General features: G+C 44.1%; 1 protein-coding gene across 3 annotated transcripts in view, besides 2 other annotated features; it reads right to left on the reverse strand.

The window, feature by feature from the left end:
* The window catches only part of DPYSL3 (dihydropyrimidinase like 3), a 119,261-nt gene that overhangs the window by 54,481 nt on the left and 48,067 nt on the right, over positions 1 to 16,713 (reverse strand). The window contains exon 1 of one of the 3 annotated variants that reach the window (NM_001387.3): positions 8,261 to 8,404. The exons of 1 other annotated variant lie outside the window; for it this stretch is intronic. In NM_001387.3, the coding sequence (NP_001378.1) occupies positions 8,261 to 8,299 (39 nt within the window). In that variant the 5' untranslated portion in view covers positions 8,300 to 8,404. Of the gene's footprint in view, positions 1 to 2,080; positions 2,204 to 8,260; positions 8,405 to 16,713 lie in introns of those variants that run through there. One more of the 3 variants, XM_011537574.3, reaches the window with a different exon arrangement.
* Positions 8,801 to 8,940: a silencer, noted in NCBI's record as "silent region_16489". NCBI's record gives its function as "represses an Ori minimal core promoter by ATAC-STARR-seq in GM12878 lymphoblastoid cells {active_cell/tissue: GM12878}" and the evidence as "EXISTENCE:reporter gene assay evidence [ECO:0000049][PMID:35858748]".
* Positions 10,659 to 11,160: an enhancer, noted in NCBI's record as "NANOG hESC enhancer chr5:146835510-146836011 (GRCh37/hg19 assembly coordinates)". NCBI's record gives its function as "activates a minimal SCP1, AML or CMV promoter by ChIP-STARR-seq in primed H9 embryonic stem cells {active_cell/tissue: H9 hESC(primed)}" and the evidence as "EXISTENCE:reporter gene assay evidence [ECO:0000049][PMID:30033119]".

The following is a 16,713-nucleotide window of genomic DNA, read 5'->3' on the forward strand; positions in this document are numbered from 1 at the left end:
CTGCATTACAATGACTTGCTTGTTCTGCTAAAGAGCTGTCATGTTTCTCTTGGCCCAGTGATCCTATGCCTTAAGAGTCTGGCCTTATTTAGAAGTTAATATTCTAGAAAGATGTCAAAGGGAAGCTTATGTACAAGAACAAATTGGTACACTTTCAGGTGATCTTCTCTCTTGAAATCATTCCTGTAGGTAAGTGTTAAATATATCCACTCATTCAGCAAATACAGAGGGCCTAATATGTGACAACCAAAGATTAAGTGCTGGAGATTCAGTGGTAACAAAACAAAAACCATCCCTATCCTCATGGCATGTACATGGCATGATTGGGCCTTTGGGGGTAGATTATTTCCATTGGATGGCAGCCATCATATTTAAAATATTAGCAAGAGCAGCTGAAAAAAGAGCCTGGTGAGCAGATACAGACTCCGAGTTGTTTTTGGTTTGTTTTCTTGTTTGTTTGGCCAGTCTAGATTTTGGGCAATTATCGCCTTCATGCCCTTATCAATAGTAGCCTTATCCTAAAGAAAGACTGTATGTGACAGCAAATGAATCATGATATCACTTTAATAATGTTCATCTGAATTAATACTAACGCTCTACTAGGCAGAGGATCTCAGTCATCATTATTCCATTTCTCCTCTGCACAAAATCTATTAATTAAGTCTACTCCCTGAATGAGAAAAAGACTGGGATTTTAAGTGTAAAAAGCAACCAAAGCCGCTTATATCCAACACAGATGTTGGCTGGTCCCTCTGAGTTTCAGCCAACAATGGTCGCTCTCATCCACTTTCTCCCTACTCTCTTTTCCCTCACAGGAAGGCCTTAGAACTCCTCTCTGTGAATTTGGAACAAAGTGAGGAGGGGCTGGCTCACAGGGTCATTTGCACTGGCAGGGACCTCAAGGATCATCTGGTTCAATGCCCTCATTTTACTGATGCAGAATCTGAGAGGGATAATAAGGGTTTGCCCAAAGTGACAAGTAAATTAGAGGCAAAGGCAGGCCTGAAGCACAGTGTGCTGATACTCCCTCCAGGGTTCGCTTCCTTATTCCGCATCCAAGAACAAGATGGTTCTTTTGCTCTTCTAGTCCGAGGAACTCTTCTCTTAAAAAATAAAATCTCGTTTTACCCTTAAAATCTCATTGTCCAGCACTTCCAGAGAAAAGAAATAGTAATTAGGCCATGAGAAATGTTGTCCTTGAATTCCAGATGTTCCAAATGGGTTCCTGGACCATTCTACTGTGGAGCTTCCCCATCTAGCTTAAAGTGCTGGGTGTGTCCTGTTAATGTTTCTCCGCGTGACTGAAGGGAAACAGACAGCCTGGCTATGTCTGGGAAGAAGACAGGGATAGAGAGTGAGAAAGGGCCTTAGACCCAGATCTGCTCTGAAGCAAGGCAGAAAAACAGCATCTGCTTTTCCACCCTGTACTCATACATGCTCCTGGGCAAAAGCCAGAAGCTAACTCAGACAGCTGGCAGAAGCAATGCATGAACCACTGTCAAGAGGACACACAACTCACTTGTTGTTCCAATAGTGATGTGACAGGGTTGGCCAGACCATCCCCAATCCTTCCACCCTGTGAATACTGACCCACATTTAGGAGCTAACAGGTGTGGACAGCTGGAGATAATGGCTAATGGCGGGAGGAGGTAGTCACCTGTGCCTATGGAACTACTGCTTTCTTGCCTATGAAACGAATTCACCTTTGCAGGGATCAATCCCAGGATCTTGCTTTTTCAGCTCTGTGACTTTAGCCAAATTACTTAGTTTCTCTGAGCCTCTCTCCAGAATGCAAAATGATGGTTAATAACTGTAGCTATAAGAGTTGCTGTGAGTTAAATGAGATAATCCATGTAGCTTTTACTAAGACAGTTAACAATAATAGCTCCACCATGCTTAGTCCCATATTTCTTACCACTGTGTTCCCTACAATCTAATTAACAGAAGAAAGTTCCTCAAGAAAAGTAGTTTTTATACTGGGCTTCATGTAGGGACTGGAACCAAAAGAAGAGGCCAAATTGAGAGGTTCATTCTATTCCACCAAACTAGCTTTGGCTTTTTTTGAGGGATGGGAGGATACCTGTGTTTCGTATATTGAAATAGGCATATGTTGATGAAAGAGGGACTTCACAGCAAAAGGAGTCTGAAAATACAGGAGTCGATTTCTCTGGGTTTTCCAAGGTCTTTCTTATTTGTTTCTCATTTGCCTAGAGAAAGTGGGAGAAAAGGCAAAGTTGAGCATTGATTTGAGGAGGGAGTAACCAGGGAGCAGTTCGCCTCTCCTATTAACATCCATCACAGGCCAGGTGCGGTGGCTCACGCCTGTAATCCCAGCACTTTGGGAGGCTGAGGCAGGTGGATCACCTGAGGTCGGGAGTTCGAGACCAGCCTGACCAACATGGAGAAACCCTGTCTCTACTAAAAATACAAAATCAGCTGGGCATGGTGGCACATGTCTGTAATCCCAGCTACTCAGGAGGCGGAGGTTGCCGTGAGCTGAGATCGCGCCACTGCACTCCAGCCTGGGCAACAAGAGCAAACCTCCGTCTCAAAAAACAAAAGACAAACAAACAAACACATATATCCATCACAAGAGGTAATGACATATTCAAATTTCCTGTCTCCTTCTGATTAGATGCACTGATTTCATCAAAGGATGAAAACATTTACACCTTAGAGACTCATTCCTACTACTGTAAACATTTTGCCGTTTTTCAAATGTAATAAGCAAACACAAATGGCCCTATAAAATATGTCAATAGGTAAAGAACAGAGGGCCCATTAGGACAGGAGGGGTTTTTTTTTCTTTTGGTTGTTGTTCTTTTCAAATTTAGTTTTATTTTTTTCCAACTGAAGAAAAAAGAGCAGTCAAGCCACTAAAAAACGAGTTATGAAGAAACAGCTGAAAGGATCTTCATAACATGTGTCACTCTAGGCTAGAAGGTGATCAGGACTAAAAAATGATACAGAGTTCAATTAATTTAGGAAAATGCCCTCTATTCAGGTTAAGGGAGAGTCTCTGTATCAAAAGTTCAAAGGCGGTCTAATGGCCTGTGTCGGACTGTCAGAGATGACAAGCATAAAATTCTTAGGAACACTGTAACGTAACTAAACAACAACAAAAAAGTTTTTATATAACGCTGTTTATTTTTGTTTTGGAAAACTCTTATTTTTACAAAATCATTTCCTAAGTAGTCTCTTTCTAAACCAGACCATTGTCAAGTCTTCTTTTATTAATTTCCACATTCCAAAGTAGTTGAGATTTTATAAATATAAATCAGCATCTGCTCTCTTGAACACATCCAGAGTTCACAGACCACTTTCATGGCCACTATTTGAGCCTCTTAGTAGCTCAGTGCAATAAGCAGGAAGGTTTTTTATTTACAAACTGAGGGTCTTGCCACATAGACTTGAATTCTCTCAGGAAATCTATTTCTTCAGAATTCCTCCCAATGCCCAGCTGGCTTGGTCACAGCTACTAATGTTCAGGGCTCTTTCTATACCTGAGGCCTTCTCCTAGTATTTGAGGAAAAGGAATAACCTGGCTAAGAATCAGCACATACCTGCTCAAAATTTAAAATAACAAATGAACACTTTAGGCAGGGCTGAGACTGGGCTGAGACTTCCATGATCAGATATCTAAGATGCTTTCCATTCTTAAGTGTTTGCTATTTTTCTTCTGTCTTTGACTCTGGAATTCCCCTTTCAAGATGCCTTGCACAGAGAGAGCTGGTTTTCTGTGACTCCTCTTCTTTTGGTTTCCTCAACTCTAGTTCTCCATCTCCTAATATTTTCCTCTAATTCTTAAATGACACCCATTGAAGCAAGAGGAATGTGTAGATCCAAAGGTCGGATTGCATTTGTCCCTTCTTCTAGCTCTAGTCTAGTTCTAGGCCCCCAGCTTAACTGCTGCAGAGATCTGGGTGTTACTCCAGTTCATAAGGTCCCTTCACTTCTCCGAAAAAGAAAATAAATTCCAGTGGCACCTACTACACTCACAATCACACCCTTTCAAGGGAGATCACAGAGCTCTGACTACACGCCCTAGACCGAACTTTGCAAGTTGTATTCCTAACTGGGGATACGTCTTCCAGCAATTCCCAAATACCACACACACAACCAAACTTTCAATGCAAAACAAATGCATTATCTGCAAGACAATGTTTACAGAAATCCAATCAGTGGTTGGAAAAGACCAGTTCTCTATAATTTGTCTCCTAGAGGGAATTCTGGAGCTGTTTCCACAACTTTCAACATCTCAGCTGCACGTGCCTCCAAGAGGCAGCTGCTGCACCATGGCAGCCTCAGCTTTGAAGCTGGACAAGGCCTAGCTTTGATTGCTAGCTTTGCCCCAATATTCTCACCAGGCAACTCTAAATAACTGACTTCACCTAACCATATTTCAATGTCCTTCCTTAACTGGGAAATGATTATCTGTGGAGGTTCTAATATGAAAATACATATAAAACACTGGAACCTAAGTGCCTAAGTATTAGGACCTGGCCCATTCCTGTGGTCAGCTTCAAGTTGTAACGTATGTCAGAGGAAAACAATAACTGTAACTTATCAAAAGTTCCTACCTGTAGAATTGATGGTGACTACTATTTCAAAAACGTGTTCTTATATGTACTTAATATAAAAGGTAGGAAAGACCATGTTGTGGGATTTGTTGACAGTGACAAGAAAAATATGCCTCCCAGCAGTGCAGATGGTCTGGAAACCATTTGCCCTACCAATGTCAAGTAACAGCAATGGTAGAGAGGCAGAGGCGGAGACACCAAAAAGAGTGTGATGGTGAGGGACATGCATTTTAATTTCAGTTGGGTATGTAGGTTTAAGTCTGGCCTCCAACACTTACTAAATCTCTGACCCTGAGCAAATTATTTTTTATTTTCTAAGATTTTTTTAACTTGTAAAATAGGGGTAACTATAGTCCCTCTCAGACAGTATTGACTGAGTCAAGGATTCAACGAAACAAGGCATGTAAGGCATAAAAAAACATAATACCTGACAAAATAAACACTCAACAGGTATGGGCTATTATTAGGAACAATTTTAAATCAATTAATCCATTTAAGTGATAATCATTATGTATCTGTAAACCAGGCCCATCGCGAGACAGTGAAGATCCCTTGCTGTGATCTGTCGAACCCCCAAAACTGCCAGTCTCTGATAATTAGAAGCAAGGCTTGTGTTGAGGTAGAACAGATAATCCACATAGCTGCCCTGAGAGGGGACAATGAAGATCTGAAGTCTTGGGAGCTACTCGGGAGAAAGGTAGCTACTCCGAGCCAACTCCAACAGGGACACAGAAATCTCCCCCTCATTTCCAGCCCTACCACAGGAAACCAATAAAACAAGGATAGTAAGAATGCCTTAATCTCAGGAGGGCAATAAAAATAGGTGGAAGGAGGAAAAAACAAAACAAAACAAAAACAACCAATCCTATCTTGGACCCAAAACAGTGGTAGAAAGTAGTTCCCAGGAAGGCAAAGGGTACCAGGCCAAGAAAGACTGCCCCCACTAGTCCTCAGATTGTAGTGACACTTCAGCTACTGGGTGGGGCTGCCTTCACAGAAAGGAATAGAGGTGGCATAGAAAATTCAATTCAAATTCCATGTTACCATTTTTAAAATGTACTAGAATTGATGGTAGGGGGTATATGTTATACTTAGATCTTTAATCATATTTGCTGCACATGAATATCTATGTCTACATTGTTATATTTACAACTATATCTAGAAAAGGTACCTCAACCTTCACAGTATATAGACAACTATAATCTTCTATAGACATGCAAACATACATAAATATTTTATTCTAAAATAGATTCCTTGTTCATGGAAATGCAAAAACGAAGCATGAGAAAATTTACAAATGGATTCCTTATCCCCAAAGACCAACATCCGCCTCCTGCCATGCCCTTCCTTTTCATCCCCTTGGTTGTTAAAACCAATGAATTCAAGGCAGCCTGGTTTGAAGAAATTCACAACCACTGTCTACTCCTGTTAACAGCTGCTGGAGATACAGCCCCAGCTTCAAGGCAGAGGCTGCTATGCAGCACCACGCCCCACACACAGAGAGAAAGGATGGAAGCCGCACTGAAAATGAAGGATGTACCCCAGGGAAGATCATTCAACCAGAGACAAAAGGGAATCCACTGCAAATCTGGTCCTGGGATTGGGGCACAACCACATTTACTGGAGCTCCTAAGGCAAGTTATCAATGCTGAATTTCCTTATCTTTCCTTAAAGGTGGCTTAAATGATACCTAGAAGAATGGGTGTGGCTCTCAATGTCATGTCACAGGCTGAGTCCAGAAGAAGAACCACTGCAGTCTAGGAGGGAAAAAAAATATCGGTTCTCTGCCTATCCCAAACAGGAAAACTAGCAAATATATACTGGATGTTAAAGCAAGTGGCAGATACATGTGGCATACCTCCAGCATAGAATAGCATGAGAGCTGTGGTTCAATCTCCTGAGTTGGGGAGATAAGTAAAAATTGAGCTTTTGTCCCAATCAGCTTTTTCTCTTTCTTTTTTTCTTTTTTCTTTCTTTCTTTCTTTTTTTGGATGATAATTTCCACAGCTCTTTGGAAAGACAAGACAGTCAGCACTAGACAATACTGTGCATTGTAAAAGACCCACGATGTTTCTTCAATAATGGAAAGTGAATGCCATCAGGTAGTGGTAAAGGAGGATCAGTTAAAACCCAAAGCCTCTACCAGGCAAAAGGATCCCTGCTGGCCTCAACTCTTCTCCCTGGGGAGTGTTTCTTCCCCAGCACCAGCTGGGAAGCTGGTAGGGGTGGGGTGCATTTGTGTGAAGTGAAGCTCAGTTGCATGAAAAAGGTATGGTGCGGCAAAAGAAATAAACCATTTGACAATAAAACATAGTAGGCGCAAGGGAGGCTTCTTCCTGCCTGCAGAGGGGAAGGTTCTGCATCTCAATCGCAAACGCACAGGATGTTCCAAGCCTAAGGGAACAAGTGCAAACAGACTCATGCCCACAACAAAACCTGGCGGACCCTGCAAATCAACTACTGTGGCAGGTAAAGCTCTGCCCTAGGGCGGCTGCAGAGCCTCCCAGGGGCCAGCTGATCACTTCCTTTGTTCAGCTTGCAAAGATGGAGTAGCCACCCATTCCCCCACTACACACACACACACACACACACACACACACACCATCCAATTCACTATAGACAAAGCACAACCGCACTGCTTCGTGCTAAACTAAAAAACGTTAGTTTTTATTTATTCTATTTTTGTAAATGACCATCCCAGCCTGCCATATGTGCCTACTATTTGGGGGCATCATTACAGCGCATCACCACGGAATCCCAGCCTTGCTGGGCGCCGGTGAAGACGCGGCTTCTGTACCTGATAATGGCACGTCCCCTCTCCACCCCGCCCTAGGCACACCCTAGCGCATCTGACACCCGCCAGTCGCGGTGTCTCCGTCTTGCACACAATGGGTTGAACACTGCATGCATACAGCGTGCGCCCGCGACAGTAAACTAAAATCTGCTCTAAAAACTCGGCCTTTTCTTTGATGTGAGGGAGAAAAGAAATGAAAAATGTAAAGTGCATCGAAGGCACACACACACACACACACACACACACACACACACACACACACACATAAAGTTGATCATTCCCACTGCAGCCACGTTAGCTGTCCAGTCCCATAAACGATACATTGAAACATGAGTCGGACTGAACGCAGGCAAGAAGGGGACACGGCGAGGACAGGTGGTCCAGACACCCTGCCACCCTCGCGGCGCAGGGGTCAGAGCCGTGGGGCTGGAGCTGGGAGAGGGGCGCGGTCGGGCTGCCAAGTACCCCTGGGGAAAGGTGTCATCTCTCCAAACCCAGCACGGCCAAAAGGATCCTTAGACAAAAAGCACACCTCAACCTGGGGCGGCAAAAACCGACACTCCAGGCGGAGCAGTGGTCCTGGGAGAGCCGCGAGCCCCGCGCTCCTGGGGAACTACCGGCGGTGGGAAGGGAGGATAAATAATCCAAAGTTCTCCGTGCCACTGTTTGGGTTTCCTCTTTGTTTTGTTTTCCCCAAACCCCAGGGTCGCTCAGTCTGTGTGGCGCCGGCTGGACTGACCGCCGCGCTCCGCCACCCGGACCCCGGGTCTCCGTCCCTCCCCGGGGACCAGGCCAGAGAAGCCGGCGGGATCCGAGCCGACCCCGCCCGCAGCGCAGCGGACAGGGAGCGAGCGAGGAGGGAGGGAGCAGCGGCGCCCGGACTCACCGTGATCCGCGGGATGTTCTTCTTGCCTTGGTAGGACATGGTGGCGGTGGTGGCTGCAGCGGCTGGCTCCCTCCCTCCTTCTTCTGCTCCGGCTCGCCCGCGCCTTCCTCAGCGCACAGCGCCCCGAGATCAGGTGGAGTGAATGGTGCGCTGGCCGCGCCGCCGCCTCCGCCCGCCTCCGCCCCCCTCCCGGGCTCCCGCGGCGGCTGCCAGAGACAATAGTAAATCTCCCCGGTCCCCCTTTCACCCCCGCCCCCCCACGCACACCCTCCTCCACCCGCGTTCACGCCCGGGTTTTGTTTTTTTTTTTCTTTTGCTGCGCCAGCTGGGACCCCATAAGACAAGAATGGCTGATCTGCGACTCCTCCCTCTTCTCTCTTATCCCTATTGATTTTCCTCTTTGCATCTGCCTCACCCACTTTTTCTTTTTCTTTCTTTTTTTTTTTTTTCTGATTCGCGAGTGCTGCGGAGTCAGGCTGCTCCACAGCCACCAGGGGGCGCGAGGGGCTTTTCGGGAGCGGAGGCTGAGTCCCGGGGGTGGGAGCATCAGCTACGCCCTCCCGGCCGCGGGGCCGAGTTGCGGGCGCCGCCGCCCCCAGCCAGCTCCTCGTCGGATCTCCTACCTTCCCCGCCCTAGTTTCAGAATGGAGACGGTTCCCGGCTTCCCTCCCGGCACCCGCTCTCCTCTGCCATGGCGCGGGTCGAATGCGGCGGCCGCGCCTTTGTTCGAGAGGAGGGCTGGGCGCCGCCTCTGCTGCTCGCGGGGTGGTAAACAGCGGCGCAGCCCCTTCAGACGCCGGAGACTGGTCCGACTCTGCAACCTGGCGGGCCTGCTGGGGTCCCCAGACCCGGAACATACACATTAGAAAATGGAAAGCCGTGACTCGCTCTCAGAGGCTGCAAGGGGCACGGTAGCAGTGGACTCAACCATTCCCTGTATTTAAAAAATATCCAAGTAGTATCTTGTTAAAGAAACTCCACTGCCTGACTGAGTCTCAGAATCAAAGAAAGAACATGAATGCTGCTCTGTGAGTAAAAAGTAGAAAACACCTGTGGAGTGGGAAGGCAGTAGCCCAGACACGTTCCTGGTGCGCAGCCATGGATTTGGAGTAGAACTGCTATTGCTCCCCATCAGTAATGAACCACGTGCACTGCTCACAATCCCGAGTTTACTTTAGGCAGGGCTGACAGACGAAGGTTTATATGTTATTACAAGCAAAACCATGGCCCTTCGGCGATGGAATACATTGTCCTTTAGCTACCTGCTAAAATCAAACGGCCAAAGGGAGACATATTTGGAGAGGCCACTGTGGGTGGGGTCTGAGTGGTGGCTGGGGGTGAGGGAGCTCCTCAACTCTCACGACAAATAATTCCAAACATAAAATTTAAGGAACCAAAAAAAGACTTGCTATGCAAAAAAAATTATAAAACCCTTTGAAGACAATTTTCCCACCGCTCCCCAATTGTCAATCTTAATGTTCTATTAAATAGAAATCCTGTATGTCACTAAGCATGACTAAAGCTGTGTTGAATCTTGAATTCACGTTTCCATAAGGCAGCCCACTGATGGCAATTCTAGACATCTTGTCATTAAAGTGAAGACGTGCTTGCGATAAAGAAACTATATAAGGCATCCACAGAAAGAGAATACAGAATACTCCGGCTTGGGCTTTCCATAAACCCGAAACGAACCAGACTGGTCACATAATCCAAGGACACACAAAGCCCCCCTTAAACACTCCCTCTCAAGTGAGTTAATCCAAGCTTCTGGTTATTTATGGTTAATTGGACTGAATGCAGTCTTCGCAAGAAAAGTCCACAGCAGTCTCCACTTTATTTCTGTGATACTCTGCAAAGGAGGATGAATGCCAAGCAAAGATCACCTCCCTATACTCTTGCAAAACACAAGGGGGAATAAAAAGACTGGGCCAAAGGCACGCCCTAAACATTTTGCTTTGTTCTTAAAGCGTAAGTGCTGAGACCACTAGCCAAGAGTTGTGAAATTACAAAGCATTCTGGGGATTGGCATGCAAATGAGCAGGATTATATTTAGAACAGAGTAAAAGGAGAATTAACTACATACTATGGAAACCAGCAGAGCTCTCTCTCTCTGCATCTTTCCTGTAGATTTTACTGCCCCAAACTTGCTGGAAAGGATCTTGCACATTTTTCTCAAGAAAAGCAAAAATATGTAGGGGACATTTACAATCCTAAAAAAAAAATACCGCTGCTGCTGCCTTTTTTTTTAATTTTACAAGTTTCTTTGCCTTTCTTACATCTGAGTTATCTCCTCTGTTACCATCATTATAATCCAGAACACTCTTTACTAAATAGATTTATACCATATTTTTGATCACTTGATTGTGTGTGTGTGTGTGTGTGTGTGTTGTTTCAAATAACAAGACTTGGTTAAGCTTTTTTGAGGTCAGGTTTGCATGCAAGAGGCCATGCTGAATGGCAATTGCAATGTGTTCTTCTGGATCCGGCTGCTGTGACCAGCCAGACACAGAAACACAGCAAATTGATTCAAGCTGTTGCCATCATCAGAAATGTACAACAAACACTATTTTCCTTGTTTCATCCCCTTCAATTATCTTTCACTTTCTTGAACCAAAATAAAGCCTCTAAGATGAATTTGAAGGAAAAAGCCTTCCTTGGCCATAAGAAAGGCAGCCATCAACACAGGATGCCTCTGTGTCTGGCCAAGAGAGAGAAGAATGGAACCAGTATGGATGTTTTCCACAGTAGAATGACTCTGAATGGTTTTCCTTGGATACACAGCAGTGCTTGGCTTTAGGTATCTCAGTAAACTGAAAGAGGGAGAGGAAGATGTAGAAATAGACTTGATTTACAGTCCCAAAGAAACTTAATTTTGGCTACCACACCTGCCACACCACAGATTTCCACACTTAAATCAATGGGTACTCCATTCCAGTTGCTCAGGCGAAAGGTTTGGCACCATCCTTGATTTCTCTCCTTCAATCATGCCCCTACTCTCCACAGACAATCTTTCAGCAAATGCTACTGATTCTATTTTTTTTTTTTTTTTTTTTTTTTTTGAGACAGAGTCTCGCTCTTGTTGCCCAGGCTGGAGTGCAGTGGGGTGATCTCGGCTCACAGCAACCTCCGCCTCCCAGGTTTAAGCAATTCTCCCGCCTCATCCTCCTGAGTAGCTGGCATTACAGGTGTCTGCCACCACACCTGGCTAATTTTTGTACTTTTAGTAGAGAGGGGGTTTCACCATGTTGGCCATGCTGGTCTCGAACTCCTGACCTCATGTGATCTGCTTGCCTCAGCCTCCCAAAGTGCTGGGATTACAGGCATGAACCACCGCACCCAGCCAGTTCTATCTTTTAAATGTATCCAGACTATGGTCTCCTCTCATGATTTGCAAAGTTTCTTCCTGTGTTTAGCCATCATTTGGCTATCACCTGAATTATTGTAACCTCCTAACTGGGTTCTCTTCCTCACCATCACTCATTCATTCATTCATTCATTCATTCATTCTCAAAATATTCACACAATATTTACCTTGTGCTTACTATGTGCCATTATTTTTATCAGTGTTAGTGCAATGGAGGTGAATAATAAGTCCCAAATATCATGGAGTTTACTTCGTATTCTTCTTATTATATAATAATAACGCATATCCTTATTACACCACCTGTCACTTGCTAGCCCCCTTTCCTGCTTTATCTTCATAATACTTTTTACCACATGACATATTAATTTATTATTGAATATTCTCCCCATCACCAGAATATAAGCTATTTGAGGGTATGTGATGTGTCTGTTTATTTACTGAATGCCTGAAATAGAGCCTTGTCCATAGAAATTGCTCAATAATTATTAGGGGAGTGAATGTAAGAATTTTTTAAAATTGCATCTGGAGAAAGATTAAATAGGTGAAGAAGAACTTTTCTGGAACTAAAGGGCATGTAGTTAGAATGTAGATTTTACAGTATCTATATTTGCTTCTCTATGCATTTTTAGAGTTTCCTGATTCTAGATTTCAGAGCAGATGAATTAAGATGGCGAAGAATCACTTTGCTAATATGATACAGTCCAAAAATTTCAGAGCAACATATGGGCCAAAGAAAGGCTCAGTAGAGTAGAATTGGTACCTGGGCACTGATTAGTTTTATGCCAATGAGGCTGATTCAGTCAGGAGAGGAAACTTTATGAGGCAGGAGAGAAGTAGGTCAATGGCTCTATGAAAGTTCCAGAATAGGCAACTCAGGTGACATTTATTGTTTGAGTGGAGGGCTTGCCCTTAGCTAGAAACAAGACTGGTTCCTCCACAGTCACTGAAGAGGAGAATATCTTTGCACAGAGTCCAGTAGCTGGGTATATTTCCGGGAAGGACTTCATGGAATTTGTCTTCTGACTCCATCTATTTTTTCTGCCATCAGCTAAGACCATCTAGGAAAGAAGGTATTGGGAGAGGGAGGAGGAGTTCATATGAAAATCATTTTCCAGGACAGTAAAGGAACTAGGAAAATATGGTATGATTATCTGGCAGTGTCAGAGGCGTGTTAACCAGAGCAACTCCATCTTGAATAGGAGCTGTGTAAAATGAGGCCGAGACCTGAGACCTACTGGGCTGCATTCCCAGATGGTTAAGGCATTCTAAGTCACAGGATGAGAGAGGAGGTCGGCACAAGATACAGGTCATAAAGACCTTCCTGATAAAACAGGTTGCACTAAAGAAGCTGGCTAAATCCCACCAAAACCAAGATGGCGACAAGAGTGACCTTTGGTCGTCCTCACTGCTACACTCCCACCAGCGCCATGACAGTTTACAAATACCATGGCAACGTCGGAAGTTACCCTAGATGGTCTAAAAAGGGGAGGCATGAATAATCCACCCCTTGTTTAGCATATCATCAAGAAAGAATCATAAAAACAGGCAACCAGCAGATCCTCGGGGCTGCTCTGTTTATGGAGCAGCCATTCTTTTGTTCCTTTACTTTCTTAATACACTTGCTTTCATTACTCTATGGACTCACCCTGAATTCTTTCTTGCACAAGATCCAAGAACCCTCTCTTAGGGTCTGGATCGAGACCCCTTTCCGGTAATAGCAGCAGTAAAGATTCCCTTCAAACGGTGACCATAAATTTAAAGAGAGACCAGTAAGCCTGGTTGTGGATGTTCCTCCAGCCACTTACAGTAGCATATGTGCAGGCAAGGAGCAGGTAGGGTGTGGAATTGAATGTGGGCTCTTTAAGATGAGTGCTGAGAAGGGAGAGAAAAACTCAAGGGAACTGAGGATGAAGCAAGGGATCTAAGCTCCTTAAGAGAGCAGGGAGAACACAGTGTATAGGGGAATAAAGGACAGTGAACATACTGAAGATTAAATAAGATTATTCTCATAAAGCTCTTAAGTCAAGTTAATTAAATGGCAGCTACTCCTAACACTATTTTTAATATTTTGATTTTTTTTTTTTTTTTGCTAAACTTATTTATGCCAGGAACTATGTCTTATTTATCTTTATAGCCCCCAGCTCTTTTACAGTGCTTGGAGTGGAGTCGCATCAATGGGAAAAGGGGGAGATTGACTGAACAGGCAGGGGAGAAAGTCCAGAATATTCTCTGTCCTTTAATCTCCAAAACATTTAAAATAAGGACCTAGCCATTTACCTAGTTTTGACCATTAAAAATATTTTTTACTTTCTAAAAATACATTTATATGTTGCTGTCTTAATATGAGAAAACATTTGCCCCTTGGTCCTGATTTGAAAAATTCAGAAAAAAAAGTTCTAAAATAAATATAGAAGAGTTTTGAAGGGGAAAATGTATATACTAGGCCTATGTGAAATATATAGGCTGTTCTTATATTACATAAATAAACATTTAATCTTAGAGCTGCCTTAATTAAGCATTTGGGTCCATTAATTTTTACCTACAACCAAACAAAGGAAATCTCAGTCATGTAACTCCAGTGTTACAGAATGAAAACCAAAGAGATGATTCACCTGCTATTATTAGATGTCTACACATTGAATACAGAAATAAACTGGTAAACAAACTAACCTCGGATACACATAAACCAAAAAAAAAAAAATTACAGCCACAGAAAAGTATTCCCACTGGCTGATTCCAAAATCAAGCTTACACTAGCTTAAGCAAAGGTATGCAATCCTACGTCTCTCTAGACAGAGTTTCTCATTCTTTTCTTCAGTAGTCATTGAGTTTGAAGGATTCTGACCTGCTCCATCCAGCTCTGATGGCAACTCATATCAAAGCCAAAGGCTAGAGTTAGAAGATCAGGTTGCGAGAGGCCGGGTGCTGTGGCTCACGCCTGTAATGCCAGCACTTTGGGAGGCAGAGGTGGGCGGGTCATGAGGTCAGCAGATCAAGACCATCCTGGCTAACATGGTGAAACCCAGTCTCTACTCAAAATACAAAAAATTAGCCAGGTGTGGTGGTGGGCGCCTGTTATCCCAGCTACGTTGGGAGGCTGAGGCAGGAGAATGGTGTGAACCCAGGAGGCAGAGCTTACAGTGAGCCAGGATCGAGCCACTGCACTCCAGCCTGGGCGACAGAACGAGACTCCGTCTCAGAAAAAAAAAAAAGATGAGGTTGTGAGATGAGGACAAATTATTGTATGCTGATCTTCATCTCTGGCCCAGCATGTTAGACACACAAGTGAAGTTACATTCATACGAGGGGAAAAACTCTTGACAGCTCTGCCTTAGGCATCATGGGGAGAGATACTATAGTCTGATGAACTTATCTGAACTTCAGAAATTTTAGAAAATACTTTATTTCCCCAAAGTTGCTGCTGTGAATTACCTTTCAGCAAGGAATCCCAGGTTTTTCAGCTATATATGTTCATGGGTTTGGGAAAAAAGGCAGTCTAGTGTGTACCATTCCCCAAAAGGTCCATGTCCTAATCCCAGACCTATGAAGATGTCACCTTACATGACAAAGGGATTTTGTGATTAAGTTAAGGATCTTGACAAGGGGAGATTATCCTAGATTATTCAGGCAGTCCCAGTGTAATCACTAGGGTCCTGATAAAGGGAGGAGGGAGGCAGGAGACTCAAAAAGAGAGGGAGTTGTGTTAAAGCAAGAGTCACTGTGTCTAGACACCAGTATCTGTCTGTGTTTAGACAACCAAGGGTGTCAGATGCAGCCATGAGCCAAGGAATGTAGGCAGCTCTGATAACACTTCGAATTTAGCCCCATAGACACAATTTAGTAATAATCCGTTGCCCAAATTCTGGATCTGAGCTAGTTTTCAGGCTTGCAATCCATTAATTGAAGGAAAAGCCAGTTCATCAGTAGGAAGGACCCTGCAACGCCATGCCTAAGGTACAAGGTAATCTTGACTCCCACACAAGTACCAATAGGAGAATCATAATTTAGACGTCTAGTCCTCCTACAAGAGGTCCTATTGATACAGGAGATAGAAAGAAATTATTTAGGCAGATAGAGTAAAAGAGTCCTCATCAAGGCTTCCCTTCTAATAAAAAGCAGCCCAAGAAAAGCAGCCTGGAAAATCAAGTTGCAAACATAGATAAGCAGCCTGGAAGCTTGCACGGGTGAATGCTGGGAGCTGTCCCAACAGAAAAGGGCTACAAGGGAGCCAGGCATGGTCAACATGGAGGCACCATTTTCCCTTTTGTTACCATGTGTACAGTAAAGGAATAAGCAACATGGCACTAGCAAGGCAGAGAACCATCTGCATAAAAAAAGATTAGGGTTGGGGAGGCCAGTTTCTCATGCCTTCTGCAATGGCATACCTAGTCCTAACCAGGTTTTCATGCCTTATGCAAATGGCACACCTGGTCCAACCAATCTTTTGTGCCCTATGTAAATCAGACACCGCCTCCTCAGGCTCACTGTAAAACCCCTGCATTTCACCATAGACCCAGAAAACCCATTTGGGACCCCTCTCTCTGCAGCAGAGAGAGCTATTCTCTTTCTTTTGCCTATTAAACTTCCACTCTCAACCTTACTCTTTGTGTGTCCATGTCTTAGTTTTCCATGGCTGTGAGACAAAGAATTTCAGGTATCACCCCAGACAACGATGCTGCTTCACTACGGCCACCTACTAATGCCACTGTAAAGTGGGAAGGGAGACTGGCAGATACAAGTTCCCAATTGACATTGATACCCAGAGCTGAAATATCAACATAGCTTCTCTGTTAGAGTAGAGACATGTAGAGGCCAGGTACTGAGTGGACTCTTGGTCTACGTTTGGCTTACATTTGGCCTTTGGGGTTCACTGATCCACCTAGCAGTCATTTTCACAGACTACCATTTATTAATTGGAATAGACAAATATGGCAATTAGCACAACTTCCACGTTGGTTTCTTAGTCTCTGGGGTAACAGCCATCAAGTAGGGAAGACCAAGCAGAAAGCTCCAAAACCGAACCCCTACCCCACCAAAGATAGAGAGTAAATCAAAAAATTTGTTTTATCCTAAGGGAATGGCAGAGGTT

The sequence above is a fragment of the Homo sapiens genome, chromosome 5 (genome assembly GCF_000001405.40).
Source record: "Homo sapiens chromosome 5, GRCh38.p14 Primary Assembly".
Lineage (NCBI taxonomy): Eukaryota > Metazoa > Chordata > Mammalia > Primates > Hominidae > Homo > Homo sapiens.